Source organism: Homo sapiens, chromosome 15 (assembly GCF_000001405.40).
Source record: "Homo sapiens chromosome 15, GRCh38.p14 Primary Assembly".
In the NCBI taxonomy this organism is placed as follows: Eukaryota; Metazoa; Chordata; class Mammalia; order Primates; family Hominidae; genus Homo; species Homo sapiens.
The window spans coordinates 70,240,046-70,256,552 of record NC_000015.10 but is presented as its reverse complement, the minus strand read 5'-3'; the positions used below and the strand labels follow the sequence as shown (position 1 = coordinate 70,256,552).

At 52.9% G+C, this 16,507-nt stretch overlaps 2 annotated features.

The window, feature by feature from the left end:
• Positions 5,320-5,903: an enhancer, noted in NCBI's record as "H3K4me1 hESC enhancer chr15:70542989-70543572 (GRCh37/hg19 assembly coordinates)". NCBI's record gives its function as "activates a minimal SCP1, AML or CMV promoter by ChIP-STARR-seq in primed H9 embryonic stem cells {active_cell/tissue: H9 hESC(primed)}" and the evidence as "EXISTENCE:reporter gene assay evidence [ECO:0000049][PMID:30033119]".
• Positions 10,554-10,603: an enhancer, noted in NCBI's record as "active region_9676". NCBI's record gives its function as "activates an Ori minimal core promoter by ATAC-STARR-seq in GM12878 lymphoblastoid cells {active_cell/tissue: GM12878}" and the evidence as "EXISTENCE:reporter gene assay evidence [ECO:0000049][PMID:35858748]".

The following is a 16,507-nucleotide window of genomic DNA, read 5'->3' as shown; positions in this document are numbered from 1 at the left end:
CCTTTCTATCCGTTTAGCAAATTTCTACTCGTCCTTTAAAACTCAGATTAGACATCACCTTCTCCAGGAAGCCTTCCCTGTCTCATCCTCCACGAGGACCAGTGTAACCAGTCACACCCTCTGTGATACTTCTGTTTCTTGCAAAACCCTCTGCTGCTGTACTGACACCCCGCATCGTATTTTATGTTATTTGTTTAAATGACCACTTTCTTCATATGATCATCAACTTTGTGAAAGCAGGGACTGGGTTTTATTCACTTCGTATTCCAGCCTGGCACCTTGTGAGGCTCAGTCAGTAGCTCAGCCCGTCCTGCCTCTTGGCTGCTGTTCCCGCCTTGCATCAGCCTCATCCAGGACTCACACTGTTGGGTTCCCACAGCAGAGTAGTTAAGGGGTGGGGGATGTTCAAATCCAGCTCCTGCAACTCACTAGCTGAGTGACCTAGGGCAAGATGCTTCACCTCTCCGTGTTTCATCTGTGAAGTGGGGGCAATAATGAAACCTATCACATAGTCATGATGATTAAATGACCTCATAGATGGAAACAGCTTAGAACAGTGCCTGATACACAGCAGGGGTTCAAACAGAGTTACTGCTGATCATCAGGTAGGATTCTCTACCCATGCCATAATCCTGCCTTGGGTGCCCACCATGTCCCATTTCTTCATAGACCCATCATCTCGGAACCATGACTGCCTTCCACTGTTCCCTGCTACCTGTTTTCCGTCCCTGATGTCCTCCTGCACGTTCATCTCCTGGGGCCTGGGGCCAAATGCTCTGGGCTTCCTAGACTGTGCTGATACCCTTCTCAGCCAGCTGCTGTCCTCCCTGGGCTCCTGCAGGGAGCCTTTGTCCTGCATCTGACCAGAGACCTTTTAGAAGCTGATATGGTTTGGATGTGTGTCCCCTCCAAATCTCATGTTGAAATGTGATCCCCAGTGTTGGAGGTGGGGATCTGGTGGGAGGTGTTTGGGTCATGGGGGGTGGATTCCTTATGAATGGCTTGGTGCTCTCGTCATGGCAATGAGTGAGTTTTTGCTTTGAGTCCACATGAGATCTGGTTGTTTAAGAGTGTAGAGGCCGGGCACGGTGGCCCACGCCTGTAATCCCAGCACTTTGGGAGGTTGAGGTGGGTGGATCATGAGGTCAGGAGATCGAGACCATCCTGGCCAACATGGCAAAACCCATCTCTACTAAAAATACAAAAGTTAGCCAGGCGTGGTGGTGGGTGCTTGTAATCCCAGCTATTTGGGAGGCTGAGGCAGGAGACTCTCTTGAACCTGGGAGGCGGAGGTTACAGTGAGCCAAGATCACGCCACTGCACTACAGCCTGGTGACGGACAGAGCGAGAATCCGTCTCAAAATAAAAAAGAAAAGAAAAGAGTGTGGGACCTCCCCCCGGCCCCCGACCCCTACCTCTCTTTCTCATCACATGATGCGCTGGCTCCCCTTCATCTTCAGTCATGATTGGAAGCTTCCTGTGGCCTCACCAGGAACAGATGTTGGCACCATGCTTCCGGTATAGCCTGCAGAACCATGAGCCAATTAAAGCTCTCTTCTTTATAAATTACCTTTATAGTAACCAAAAAAATGGACTAATGCAGAAGCCCTGCAGTGCCTAGAAAAGAGCCAAGCCTGTTAGACTGACTCAGGAAGTCCTAGCTGGGTGAACGACTGACTGATGGGATTTGTCAAGTGGGAGCCAAGGGCTGCAGGGGAGGGGAGAATAGGCTGCGGCCGGGGGAGGCGGGGAGGCAGGAGGCAGGAGGCAGGAGGCAGGAGGCAGGAGGCAGGAGGCAGGCCTCTGTAGAAAGCAGGAGCTGTTTCCAGGCTGGCTGATTGGTCTTGACAAGCAGGGTTGAGGCAGAGCAGCTCCATTGTCCTCTGCACTTTAAAAGGCCAGCGCCCCTCCCAGAATCTTTCCTTGGAGGCCTGCTAAAATAATACATTTAGACCCGCCAAACCCAATCGCTTCCGTCTGTCAGGCTCCCTGTAAATAGCACTTCTTAGCAGAGCTCAGCGAAAATACGATTCCAAACAGCATGGGGGCAATCATGCATCAATCGAAGAAAAACATTTTTCCCCTTCCCTTCCACCAACCCCCATAATTGCATTTTAAAACCGTTCCTGTGTTTCTGGGAGAGACACCACGGTACCTGTTGCTTTTTAACTCGGAGCCGAGCGGCGCGGCAAAATGAGGCTAAACACAGCAAAGTTATTTTGATTTATTTCCTAACGTCGGAATTTGGAGCTTGCTGCGGGGATTCAGCCACGAGAAGACAAACTGATGAAAATGTATTTTTCCCTGTCGTTACTCTTTTAAATAGATGGGTGTTTTATTCTTCCTTTTTGCCACTTTGCTGTGCTAGACTGAGCTTTATGGCACCCCGGCATGCCGTCGCTTTGCTTCTCCCCTCAGAAGAGGCCGCCCCACTCTGGGATTCTCTCCTCCCTGATGCAGAGACCTGCAAGACCCCTTGGACAGTTTTGACTTTGGGTCTGGCATTTCCCTCTTCAGGAGCCAGTTTTAAGGTCTAATAGCCCCTTTGAGAGTGGAGGGGATGCACCAAACCTCAGGCGACATGAGACTGTAGCATCCTTTCATCTCTGAATGAGTCAAGGTGGAACTAGGGGAGAGAGTTATTAAGGAGCCAGAAGGACAGAAAAGAGAGAAGGTGAGTTTGAAGACAACCATTTGCCATCAGCCAGACTAAACTTGCCAAACGCTGGATTTGACACCTGAAGCCACTTCTGGTTACCAGCTGGGAGGTGGCCTCCATAGATCTCTACCTGCAGAGTAGCATTCAGTGCAACCTGCATCCCTCCCCTGTCTTAGCCTGTCCTCCAAATTCCGGCTAACTCCTGAGTGCTTGGTGGGGCGCAGTCCTCCAGGCCCCGCTGCCTCTAGGCTCCCATGACGAGGGCTGCACGGGAGGCAAGATGCGGATGATGGGGTGTCTGGGAGTCACCCTGGGGTACCATGCCCTCCCTCTAGCTGCTTCTCCGCCCTCCCTCAAATGCTTGCTGGGACAGCTCCACATTCTCTTCCCTCATCTCTGCAGAACAGCCTCCCTCCTGTGAAAAGTTTCCCTCCTACCCCAAACACATCCACAGAGTTTTCTTAACAGAAATTGTTCTCTCTCTTAGATGAATTCCAGTGCCAGCTGCTAGGGTGTTTCCACTTTGTGTGGGTACAAAATGAGTTCCTGCACAGTCCTAACCCAGAGGCCTGGCCTTGCGAGGCCACATGAGAGCTGCAGAACCTCTGCTCTGCCCCCATGCCCTCGCTTTGGGGCGGCAGCCCCCGGGGGTGCTTGGAAGGAAAGAGGGCTGGGAAAGAACATAGGGACTTGGGGAGGGGCTTTCCCCAGGGAAATGCCTCATCTGTCCACAGCCGCCCATCCCCCTGAGTGGCCTCCTGCCACAACTGGGCCAGGTCACCACTGATGCCTTGTGTGGCTTTCTTTCCTCTTGTAGACCCAGCCTGTGCTGAAGCCAGTTGGGGACACCTCCAGCCCCACGTGCGCTGGTGAGCTTGAGGCCTTCTTTAAGGCTAAGCAGAGGACCAGTCCTCCTCCTGGGGAGAGTGGGCAGGGAGGGCACTGTTCTGGGAGTTATCTAGCTATGCCACCTCCTATGTGTGTGACTTTGGGGTGGCCAATAAGCACCCCTGAGCGGCAGCTTCCTCATCTGGCCAATGTCTGTGTTGACTGTGATCCTAGTGCCCGGCTCAGCTCAGACATCCCTTGGCATCTCAAACAAGGGGGTGCTGGGCCCTGCTGCCCATCCACAAGTGCCCCAACCCTGCATCATCAGTGAAGAGGGCACTGTGATGTCCCTGTGCAGATGGGAACAGTTGAAGTCTGAGAGGCTAAGCGGCACGGCTCCCACAGAATCTAGGCAGAAGACCCCGGCCTTCCAAATCCCAGGCTGTCTCTGCACACCTGCGTAGAGAAGGACACGCCACACAGCCTGGCGAGGACGGCTTGCCAGCTGGGCTCCAGGGAGGCCCGGCAGGGTTGCCACGGAGACGCTATTATCAACAGCTAAGGCAGGTCTGTGCAGGCAGCGCCAACCACAGCGCCCCAGAGCTCCCCTGCCGTGGTCCAGGGGCCTCACGGTTCCAGTGCCAGAGGGTCCCAAGTCACAGGGCAGTGGGTTAGGCTGCTTGTGTTCATGCTCCTCCCTCTGCCCTTTGAAAACCTGTGAGCCCAGGCAAGATGCTCCACCAGCCCTGGACCTTAGCTCCCTGGGTGATACAGTGTGCCGTGCCGCCTCGCAGGGTGCAGTGAGGGTTAAATAAGGTAATCTCTGTGAAGCACTTAGAACCATGCCCACAGATAAGAAGAATACAGGAAACAAGCTAGGATTTCTAGGCCTATTCCCTCTGCAGCCCAGAGAGGATGGACCCAAGGCAGAACCATGCCTCCTGGCTGTCGCCAAAGCCCCCTTTTCTCTGTATCATGTATTTAAAACGAACTTTGCTTGTGTTGTTCCCAATCCCCTGAAACAGCCTTCCCCTTCCAGTCCCTAAAAAGCTGTTCTGACCCCAAAAGCCGGGCTGGCAGCATCCAAGAAGCCGTTGCAAGCCACAGGCTCACGCTGGTGCCACGTCTCTCTCCTACTGGCTGGCATTCCATCAGAGACCTGCAGTTTCTGTCTTCCTAGTTAGGTACCCATTTCTTGGTCTCAGGCTCTCCTCTCCTCTCCTCTGAGGCTGTGAGCTCCCATTGAGAGCTGGGCAGACTCTACCTGCAAGCTCCTGGCCCCACCCTCTTCCAGGTGAGCTCATGTGAGACCTGAATGTGGAGGCTCTCTGTAAACAGGCTGAGGGAGGAAGTTTATCAGGTCATAGCTCCTGCCCCCAAGTGCCCCAGCTGTGAAATGAGGGTGAAATAGTAGCTGCTAGTTAAGGGACCTCACCATATGCAAAGCCCTGGGCTTTCCTGTCCCATTCTATCCTTACAAACTTATTTTTTCAGGCAGGGAAACACAGGCTCAAGGCAGCTGCGTAACTTGCCCAAGGTCACACAGAAAGTTGCAGAGCAGAGTATTCTAGATCTCGGGCCTTGCCTGACCCACAGTCGGACTCTGAGCCGCCATCGCTCACTCAGTCAGCTGATGCCAGAACCATCCAATGGTGTCACGCTCCCTGAGGGCCGGTGCCAGGCCTAGCTCCCCCAACCCTCTTCTCCACCTATGCTAAATCAGTGAATGATTGAGCCAGTGACAGAATTACATTGTCGACTTCATGAATGTGCTTCTAAAAGAATCAGATACTTTTCAAACACCAGGTACATGGTACACTGAGGAAGAGAAGCTGAGGGAGCCGAGGCCAGGGGGGTGCAGCTTTGCCACTGTCACCAGAAGCAGGCCCAGAAGCCTCTCCACAGCCCCCGGCCTATGCAGGACTCCTGGGACTTGATTAGGGTGATTTATTTTCCTAGCAGGGCAGGAGGCTGTGGGGGCCAGCCTGAGGGAGGTCTGGGCAGCAGTATCCCATTATCTCTCCTGGGGCAAGTTAGAGAGGAGCAGGCGGTTACAGTCCCTGCTTCCAAAGGCTTCTGGAAAATAAGACGACCGTCTGGCCACGGCTGGGCCTGATTCTCTCTCATCTGCTAGAAACAGTTCAGACAGAGGGCAGCCCTTGAACTTGGGCTGGGGAGGGTGTGTTTCTGTGCCTGCGCTGACGCAGCTCTCCATCCCTCTCCCTTGCCTGCCTCCTTGAGAAGAGGCAGGGGATGCTGGCAGGGAGTCCTCAGGGGGCTTCTCTGATTAGAGGCTCGTCCTGGCCACCTGGGTCCTACTGAGAGGAAAGTGGCTTCCCCCGGGGCTGCAAGCAAGTTGGCTTCAGTGCAGTCCCCTCTCGGGGGAGGCCTGCGGGCTGTGGAAATGATGAAGCTCCTCCCTTGTGACAACACGGCCACCTCCCACGCTGGGTACCATGGAGGAGCAGAGCCGGGTGAGACCTAGGAGGCCTTCTAGAACAGGGACCAGAGGCTCCGAGAGAAGAAACGCTGTGCTTTGGAAGACAGAGTTAGCGGCCACCCTGGATTGCGCGTGAGACCTGGACAGATGGCAACTGCCATGTTGGTGCCTGTGAGCGGGAAGATGCTACCAGGGAGGCACGAGGCCTTAAACAAGCATGTGCAGTGTCAGCATTGACTCGGACCAGCCCAGGCAGGGGCGCGACGGTCCATTTGGCCTGGTTTTTGAGAAGTTTGGGGGAATTTTGTTTCAGGTTTTGGAAAGGCTTCAAATGAAGGCGTGAATGAGGAACAGGAAAGTATGGCAGGAAAATCCACCACGAGCTGGGGGCTGTCAGCTCTGGATCCAGTCCTGGTTGACCCTCCCTTGCTGAGTTACTTGATCCCATTCCCAAGCCTCTCTGTCTTCTTATTTGTGAAACGCAGAAAATAATCCCACTGCACCAACTTCCCAAGGGAGCCGTGGAAGATCCAGCACACAAAAACAATTAGTTACAAGCCCACACACAGAAGGGGGGCTATTATCGTGCATGCATGCCCACGACAGGATGCATTTGGCCTCCGAGAAGGGGCCAGGACTTGTCACGGCAAGGAAGTGTGCTTTCACAGAGGGTGTATGAACAGGTAGTATTGATGGAGCACTGCCAGGTGCCAGAGTGTGCAGAGGGAGTCTCCTCACCAGTGTAATCTTTATAACCACCCTTCAGGATGAGTTCCACTACATCCATTTCCGGGTCAACCATCAGAAACCCAGAGAGGTTAAAGGGCCTGCTGACAGTCACGCAGCTGGTCTGAGTGGAGGAGCAGGAAGTTCAGCGGAGGCCAGTCTGCTTCCGGGCCACCATCTTCCACAAAGTTCAGGCTCTAAAGGTGAGGAGATGTCTAACAGGCAGAGTCTTGGAGGGGCAGGCAAGGACCCAAACTGGAAACCAGATGCTGTAGTCAACTGGGGGCCCTAGGGAGCTGCCCACCAGATGAGACTGAGCTTCCCATCCCTACGAGGGAAGAATGGGCACCACATCTGTTAGGCCTCATGAGCTGTTGGGAGGATTAACTTGCTTTTTTTTTTTTTTTTTGAGATGGAGTCTCACTCTGTCACCCAGGCTGGAGTGCAGTGGTGCGATCTCGGCTCACTGGAACCTCTGCCTCCCGGGTTCAAGCGATTCCCCTGCCTCAGCCTCCTGAGTAGCTGGGACTACAGGTGCGTGCCACCATGCCCGGCTAATTTTTGTATTTTTAGTAGAGACGGGGTTTCACCATATTAGCCAGGGTGGTCTCAATCTCCTGACCTCGTGATCTGCCTGCCTCGGCCTCCCAAAGTGCTGAGATTACAGGCATGAGCCACCGCGCCCACCTAACTTGTATCTTAAAACTGAGTCTAAAACTATAAATTGTAATCGTCCTTATTTCAATAGCAAACCAATCACTGAAAGAGTTTAAAGGCCATTGAAATGATTTCTCTGACCCGGGCAGGGCTGTACCTTGGCCAGCCCAGGCACAGGAACCACTTTAGGATCTAAGAAAAGCACCTGCCAAGAGATGGGTCTTACAATCTTCCTCGTCAGGAGCCCACCTTCCTCCCTCTCACTGTGACTGTAACTTGCCTCTACCCTCTCTGGGACTGTGTGGTTAGGGTTTTCAGCCTGAACCTGCTCTGTCCTGGGTGGCCTCCCCCTCACACCCTCCTGAAGCCTCTCCAAACCCGCTTCCAGCAGCTCTGCCCCCAAGCAGGCAGAAACCTTATGTGTGGGCGGAGTCTGGGGAAGGGCTTGGTGGGTGAAGAGGGTTGGGGCTGCCACTGAAGCAAAGCCTCAGGGAAGGCGGAGCTTCTGTTTGATTTAAAGGAAACCTGGAAGTGTTTTCTTGAGCAGAGGAAGGGAGGAAGGGACAGGAATTCCAGGAAGCACCAGTGGTTGGAACAGAGATAGAAATGCGGGAATGAGAGAGGAAGGATGGAGAAACCAGCTTGGCCTAAAAGATCAAAGGGTGATACAGGTCATGAAAGGTCTAGAAACCACAGCTAAACTTAGACTGGCCATGGAGGCAGTGAGGAGGAGGACAAAGGCTCTTAGGCAGGTGATGTGTGGACAAAGGAACTCCTTCCTGCCTCTGTGACTGTTCTGTTATTCTGTAGAAAGTGGGGCTGAGGAGAGGCAGAGGTTCCCTTCAAACCTTCCCCAGCTCCCCCGCCTCATGCTGCAGGCTGCAGAGGCCAAGGCCACCATGTGACACTGCAGCCCCTCCTCGGGACCCCCTGGTGTGGCTTTTGTGGTCTGCCTTTCAGCAGCAACGCAGCCAGCTACATGCAGCCCACCAGAGGCCACCCCGCAGTGACCCCGTGTGAAGTGGCCTCGGCACAGAGAGGGCCTATGCAAATGAGAACGGAAAAAGTGATGTGGGTACCTGGTGGAAAAGTTTCCTTTCCCAGGCCCCCAGTGTTGGGGGTGGGCAGTGGGAGGTGGGCTGAGGCTCAAGGTTATGTCGAGCATGGCTGGGTTCAGCCCCTCTCGCCTCTCACAGAGAGAAAAGCAAGGATTTGTCTTCAGGGCCCAAATCCCAGATCTGGGCTTTCCTCCCTCAAACCAGGTGCCCTGGGCAAGTGACTTCTCCCTGAGCCCCAGTTTCCTCACCTGTAAACAGAGGAGGGTGAAAGGCCTGGCTCTCAACAGGTCCTCCTTGTGCATTTCACTGACTTCTTCACTATAACCCAGGAGACCTGACATTTACACAGAGGGGCAGGAACACGAATACTGGCAGGCCCAGGGGTGTGACATGGGACACAGCACAGGCCTGCACACAGGACTGTGGGCATGAGGCAACCTGGTATGGAGACTAAACCCAACCTAGCCTCATTCCTCTGACTTCTAAAACCCTGTGTGGCGAGCAGACCCGAGGCTGCTGGTGGAAACCCCTGCTTTCCTCCTTGTGAGGTTCCGGGGAAAATCTGACAGGCTTTAATAAGGAGGAAGCCCTGAACGGACAAGACAGCGTCCTCTCCTCTACTCACCTCCCCCATCTGGCTGGCATAGAGAAATGAGTTGGTTGGGGACCCCAAGTACGGGTGCTAGCAATGGCACTCACCTGGGGCTTCCTCACCTCCCTGCCCAGGGCCTTCCCCTGCTCTTCTTGGTGTCTCCACCTCCTGGCTGACTTCACCTCTGTCTCCTCTCCACTCTGAGCCAGGCTGCCTGATTTCAAATGCCAGCTCCTTCTTTTCTAGCTGGGTGACGTCAAGCTATAAACCTCTCTGTGCCTCAGCTTCCTGATCTATGAAATGGGGCATTTCTCCCCATCATTTGGCTGAGAAGAGAAAATCAGCTAACCTCTGTAAAGCACCCAGAAGGTACTTGAACGAGACCTGATGGTGAGGCAAGTTGGTTATTTTTATTCAGATGGGCCTCCCAGAGGGAAGCCTAGCTCCTTAGCACCTTTCTCCCTCCCAGAGACCTCTGCAGATGAAGGCTGGTCTCAGTGAAGAGCAAGCAAGGATTGGCTCTGAGTCAAAATAAAGAGGAAGGACGTGGGTGAGGACGTGAATTTTATGATCCCTGAGCAATGTCACCCTGGTGCCCAGGAACTAACCCCCTCACCTGCTTCCCCAGTAGGTCTGACTGCTCCAGGCCCCTGCTGCAACTACTTGGGCAAAAGCTTGGCCCTCTGGAAGCTTGCATTCCCTAGGAAGCGGGCACATTAGAGGTTCAGGAGGAGGGAGCTCAGAGCAGTCAACCACATGAAGTTACCTTTCATCCAGGGCCTTTGTGGCCAGCAAGTCAAAAACAAAATATTATTGTTCCCACTTTGCAGATGAGAAAACTGAGGCCCAGAGTAGCGATGTGACTCACCTAAGGTCATGCGGCTGAGGAGCTGGCTCGGGAGTACACATCTGCCCAGGCACCTGCACCACACCTAACAGGCAGAACGCAATGGGCTCAGTTGCCTCATCTGCAAAATAGACTCTCAGCATCCATCCTGCACCTGGCAAAGGAGGCGGAGAAGGGCAAGGATTCCACCCCCAAGCCGGCCACGCCGCCCGCCGTCCTGCTCCAACACCCACAGAAAGACAGGAAATGGCTCGCCCAGGATTCTCACTTGGCCTTCCCTTCTAGCATCCACTTTAAGATTGGCAGGGGCTGCTCTGAGCAAAGCCACCGCAGCTGTGACCCCTTGAGGTCAGTGTTCGTGGCAGGGGCTGCAGGGTTGTGATGGGCCAGACATTGAGGATAGCACTTGAGAGGGCTGGGGACCCTCTGCTTTGGCATTCTAAAGGTCTGAGTCCCTCCTAGGACAGGCCAGAGACAGCATCTAAAGATACCCAGAGATAGGGACGCAGCAGGCCCAGTGGGCTGCTAGAATCCCAGCAGCCAGGAGAGTGATGTGTCCCAGCAGAGGAGGCCACTGGAACAGAGCAAAAACCACAGGAACCGAAACTTCCCGGGTGCCCATGAGTCACCACCCTGTGAGGGCTGGGCCCTGGGGCTGGGTGGGAACTTTCCCAGGCCTTGACCCTCAGCTCAAGGGCATGTCCCTTGACCCCATGACAACACAAAGAGAGGGCTGCAGCCTGGGGTTCACACCCTGGTATGTCTCTGTCTTACTCTCAGTATCTCTGCCAAGAGATCATTTGATTCATTAATTAGTGTAAGTATGTATATCTTTAGAATAGGAAATACAGGCATATTGCAAAAAAAAAAAAAAAGTGAAAATCAAGCCTCCTCCCCTCCCCTGTTCTTCACTATCAAGTTCCTCTGCCCCCAAGTCTCCTCCTTGGAGGCCTCCACTCCTACCAGTTTCTTTAAAGCCATATATGTTTGTATATGCATTTAGAAACCCAAATGCAAACATGTGTGTGTTCATTCTTTTCCTCTTTTTACACAAATGGTAGCATGTCAATATACCTTGGAACCCTCTCCTTATAGAAACATACAGGGTCCATTCTCCTTTCTTCAGTGGTTTAAATCAATACTAATATGTATTTCGTATAATTCTGTGGGTTGAAGAGGCACAGTTGGGAGGTCCTCCATTCCATGTGACGTAGCTAATGTCATCTGTATGTTGGTTCTGCTTAACAGTTGTGTAGAGTCCCATTGTACGGACATCATTGTTTATTTAATCAGTCCCCTATTGATTAACATTTGGAGATTGACAATCTTTTGCTTTGATAAATAATGCCACAGTGAATGAGGAGCACACACGTCCCCTGTGTATCCGCATGATGAAATCCTAGGGTTGGCTGTGCCGGTCAGAGGGAAGAGCAGGTGTGGTTTGGCAGGGGCTCCCAGTGGCTCTCCCAGACACGCTGATTCCTCTTCCTGCCAGCCCCACACTCTGGCACCTGTCCTTGCACCCTCAGCAGCAGAGTGTGCCATACTTTTGATCTTTTTGATATAATGGTTCAAAAAGGGTCTTTTTTTTTTTTTTTTGAGACAGGGTTTCTCTCCCATTGCCCCGGCTGGAGTGCAATGGCACGACCTCAGCTCACTGCAATCTTTGCCTCCCAGGCTCACATGATTCTCCTGCCTCAGTGTCTGGAGTAGCTGGGACTACAGGCACATGCCACTGCACGCAGCTAATTTTTGTATTTTTAATAGAGATCTGCCTGCCTTGGCCTCCCAAAGTGCTGGGGTTACAGGCGTGAGCCACCACACTCGGCCTAAAAGAGGGTCTTTTATTGAAGTTTTAATTTGCATTTCTTTTATGAGTAAGGCTGAGTAACTTTTCATCTATTTAAGAGCCACTTATATATTCTTTTGAAACGGTCTTCCTATATTTTGCCCATTTTTTAAATTGAGTTATTGGTTTGTTCTTGTTGCTGGGTAGGAGATCTTTATACAATAAAGAAATTAATCCCTTCTTTGCAATACGAATTGCGATTTTATTTCTCAGCTAATTTCTCTCATTCTCTGCAGGAGTGGCCCAGAGTGACCAACCCAAAGGGGGTGGAATCTCTAGGCTGTAACAGTGGAGGACTGGGTCTATTCTGAGCTGGAGAGTATGGCTGGGACGGTATAGAAGAGAAATGGCTTCCAACAGCTCCTGCCCTGGCAGGTGGCTTGGGGGAGCCCACTCTGGCCTGGCCAGATCTCCAGGGCCCCAGGCCCAGGCATCATCCTATGAGAGGGAGGCCAACACCTAGAAGGTCCAAGCAGTCTGAGGGGTTCAGGGGCCCAAGGTCACCAGAAAGAAAGAGAACCCAGGGTTCCTGGGTCCCAGTGTGCTGTTCTGCACCTGGGCCAAGGCCCTGGAAAGCTCCAGAAGGCAGCATGCCTGTTAATAACATCTCACATTTACAGAGCCCTCCCATATGTCCAGCCCTGCACAGGTACTTGACTGTCACCACCCCCACACACAAACCCATTTTGTTCTCCCCAGCAACTCCATGGGGGTGAGAGCCAATGTTATTGCTCTACGACAGAGGAGGAAACGGAGGTCTGTCTACATGACACACCCTGGAGAAGTGGGGCTGGCCCACCAGAAAGCAGCAGCTCTTACTCAGCGGAGAAGTCCAGCCAAAGTCCTGGGGTGGGGGCCTCATTAGGGCGCTGCTTGGGGAGCAGAACCTCTTGCAGACTGAGCAGAGAATTTCTACCTGCCCTCCCCTCAGAGGGGCCTGAGCCTTCCTTACCAGGCTGGTCACTGATGCGTCCTTGAATAAACTGTCTAAAAGAGCACCCAGCAAGGGCCTGGCCCCGCCACTGCCCTCTTGCTTTGTCAAATAAACCCGAGAAATGTTTTCAGGCCCAGGAATCCTGGAGAGGGAGGCACAGCCCTGCAGAAAGGGACAGAGCTGCTCTGGCTTGGAGCCAGAAGTGCTGCTATCAACTTGCAGAGGCTCCTTGGACAACTGTCACCTTGCTGGCTTCAAATGCAAGGAAGGAACTGGGTCAGATAGTGTCTGTGTCCTTTGTCACTCAGAGCAGTACCACTCTGGGGTGTGATACCCCTTCCCAGGCCTCCCTCCCAGAGTGTCTAATGCTCCTTCATCCTGCTTCTCACCCACCAGCACCCACCAGTTGCGGTTACTCCCGTGAGGTCCAGGAGAGCAGCTGCCACGTGGGTCCTGTTTAGCTCTGTCGCCCAGTCACCTGGCAGACATGCAGAAGTGTTTGTTGAATGAATGAATGAGCAAAACTCCATTGCTTTGCCAGAGGACACCACTAAAGAGCCAATGAAGAGTGTGATCAGGTTTCTTGAAGCCCTTCCCTGGAGCAAAACCCCTGCTGCTCCAGAGACATTGGTGAATTCCTCCCTAAGGAGGAGCCCCAGACAGAAGGCCAGGCTTCAGGAGCTCTGGGCTGGCAGGGGCAGGGTGGGGTGAGAGACAGTCTTCCAAGCTGAATCACCCACCAGCCTCGGGGACCCGGGGATGAATGGTGGCAGAGCAGGTAGGAGTGAAAAGGGCCTTTGGTGCTTTCCAGCTTTCTGGAGAAGCACAGGTGGGATGTGAACAGTGGGCTGCTTTGTTGAGAACTAGGCAAGCAGCAGGCTAGGCGGAGTCATCTCTTGCGTGTCTGTGCCACATGGCCCACCTTCCCACTTCCTTGCTTCACAGCCCAGCAAAGAGGTGGTTCTCTGCAGAATGCCGGCCCTAACCCATTTCCTTCCTGGATGCGGGGAAGCCCCTTTTCCCCTGGACCTGGACTGCCACAAAGGCCCTGCCATCAGCAGCCCAGCTGGCTCCCTCAAGACACTGAATCGTTTTACTCCCTGAAGCCTTGAGGTCTCCCTGTCTCCCACCCTGCCCAACACAAAGACTCTCATAAGTTTCTTGGATTAATTTGAATTGACTGATTTGAATTGAATTGACTTGAATCTTATTGAAGTGAGTTGAATTAAATGCCAGATTACAGGCTTCATCGGAGCCCATAGAAATTTGGTTTTTCTAAATGCTGGTCCATAGATCAGAAAGGCAAATTTTCATCCCTTGTTTCCAAATCCTCCTCGGGGAGGTAGGCAGGGAAATGGGGGTACAGGAGAAGGGACAAGGGGAATAGGATTCAGTGATGGCTTCCTCTGAAAAACACCACTCTCCAGCACTCCCCACCTTTCCAATTCAAGCTTTAAAATGCCAAAAAACCTCATTCCCAGAAGCAAAAAGAAGTCAGTTGAAAGTTCTCTGTTCGGATTGCAGGTGGCGTGCATGAGTACTGATAATGTCAGGATGGCAGAGCTCTAGATCAGGTACGAACCGGGAGCTGGAGCAGAACATCCAGACGACACTGGCAAGAAGAGGCTTGTTAGCATCCTGGGAGTGGATGATAGTGTCCAGGCAGAGAGGCCACCATGACCTAAAGCCAGATATTTTCAGTGTCTACTTCCTTGAGCCTGGCAGGACCTGGCAGCGGTAAACCCTCCCTCCCAGCAACCTGCTCATCCTTGAGGTTTTCATTTCCTTCTCGGTCTCCTTTGCAGGCCAGGCCTCCCCTGGGTGGCAAATGCTGGCAAATGGGTGCCTCTTCCCTTGACTCTACTTTCTCTGGTTAATCCCATCCACTTCCTCCTTGGTGGGGGTAGGGGAGGCCCTGACCTCCACTGCAATGGCTTAGTCACCACCCAGACAAGATGGCTTAGAGGTGGCTCTCAGACCCTGCAGCCATCCTGAGACTCAGATCCAAAGAGCCACCTGCTTCCTTAACTTCCCCACCTGTGTGGCTACAGAGACCTTGAACATAAGTTTATGAAAGTGAGTCTGCTGGCTAACCCCCGCTCGGGCCTTCCCTGTCTCAGCCAATGGCCACAGCATTCATCCAAATGCCCAAGCTGGACACGGGACCAGGCCTTCAACTTATCCTTCTTCACCCTCCATAGCCAATCCACCCCCGAATCGCGGCAGTGTTGCCTCCTCAAGATCTCTCAGCTTCCTCCAATCCTCTCCATCTCTGCCCCTGAGTCTGTCCCCGGGCTGGACAAATGCAGTAGCCTCCCAGCTGCTCTTCCCAAACTCACCATGGCTCCTTCCAATCTGTTCTCCATAATGCTGCCCGAGCGATAGTGCCAAAATGCAAGTCAGCTCAAATCCATAGCCCGTGGCCTTCATAACCAACAGTAGTTTCCCATTATTTTGGGGTTAAAGGTGCAGCTCATTAATATGGAGGAAAAATCCCACTCCCCCCTCGCCACCTGTCCCTCTGAGCCTTTTGTGCCTGACATGCTTCCTTCTGTCCTGCCCAGGGCCTCTGCACATGCTCTCCCCTCGGCCGAGAACATTCTTCCCTCTCCCCCTTCCTGTAGTTAGCTCCTATTCATCCTTCAGGTCATACTTTGAATATCGACGAAGTCTGCCTTGACCTCACTGACCAGGCCAGTCCCCCATAGTCAAGGCCTTCACACACTGTATGCCGCTCATGCACGCCACTAGTCCTGGCTGGAACTGTCCATTTTGTCGGAAAGGCCATCTGATTCGCATCTGTCTCCTGCTCTAGACTGTAAGGCAGGGAAGGTATTCGCATCTATCTCCCCCTCTAGACTGTAAGGCAGGGAAGGTGTCTGCTTTGGTTCGCCATTTTATTTCCAAGAGCCAGCCCTGTGCCTTCCACAGCAGGAGCTCCATGAAGAATGAATGAATGATACATGAATGAATGAATGTGAGCAAGAAAAGAGGGCCTAAGTCTGAACACTTTCATCCCTGCTCCACCAGTTGAGGGCTGTACTGCAGCCAGGCAGGCCTCCTTACTACTCCCAAGACAGCTTCCTCCGTCCCATCTCCCGGCCTGTGCCCACTCCTGCCTCACCTCCATCCTATACATCACTCCCCTCTTTCCTGCATCTGGCTAAATTTCATTCCTTCCAAGGTTCAGCTCATGTTAGAGTCTAAGAAACAACCATCAAACAGTCACCAGCAGGATGGCTGGAAGAAGACACTATGTGTTGAAGCTTTTTTCTACCCCATATTGAAAATATTCTCAATTCCCCATGGCCGGGTGGTCCCTGGTAGACAGCACCTGAGCAATAAAAGCACATGTTTTGATTGTATTTCCAGAGACAGAAACTTCCCTGCTCACAGTGCGGGTAAGGTCCGGAGAATCTCCAGGTGGTGTCAGCCCTGCTGAGAACCACATCTCACTTCAGCAAAACACTCCCAAGAAATCAAGAGGAAAGCCCATCAAATGAACAGTGGGGTTAGTCCCCACCAAAGGCGGGGGTAGCTACAGTGTGATCTGACCTAAGCAAAGCCTTTAGTTTCTCCAGGAAGAACAGGGAGAAGTGGGGACGTCCCATCACCTAAATATTACCATGCTTCATTTACAAAAGGGACTTTCGGGGGACTGAGTTCATAAGGGGAAGTCAGGCTGGGACTGGCTTACAATTCAGACACCTCTGAGGCCTCTGAAAGCTTGGGCCCAGGTGTGACACCAAAGATGAGTTGGGACAGTCCCTGCGATGAGGACAGAAACAATATCAAGTCACACATCCTAGCCATCAGTTTATGAGCCCCCAGAGTCCCTGAGATGGTGCTGAGGAACACATATCATAGAATGGCAGGGGCAGAAGCCCGGGTGTGGTGGCTCACACCTGTAATCCCAG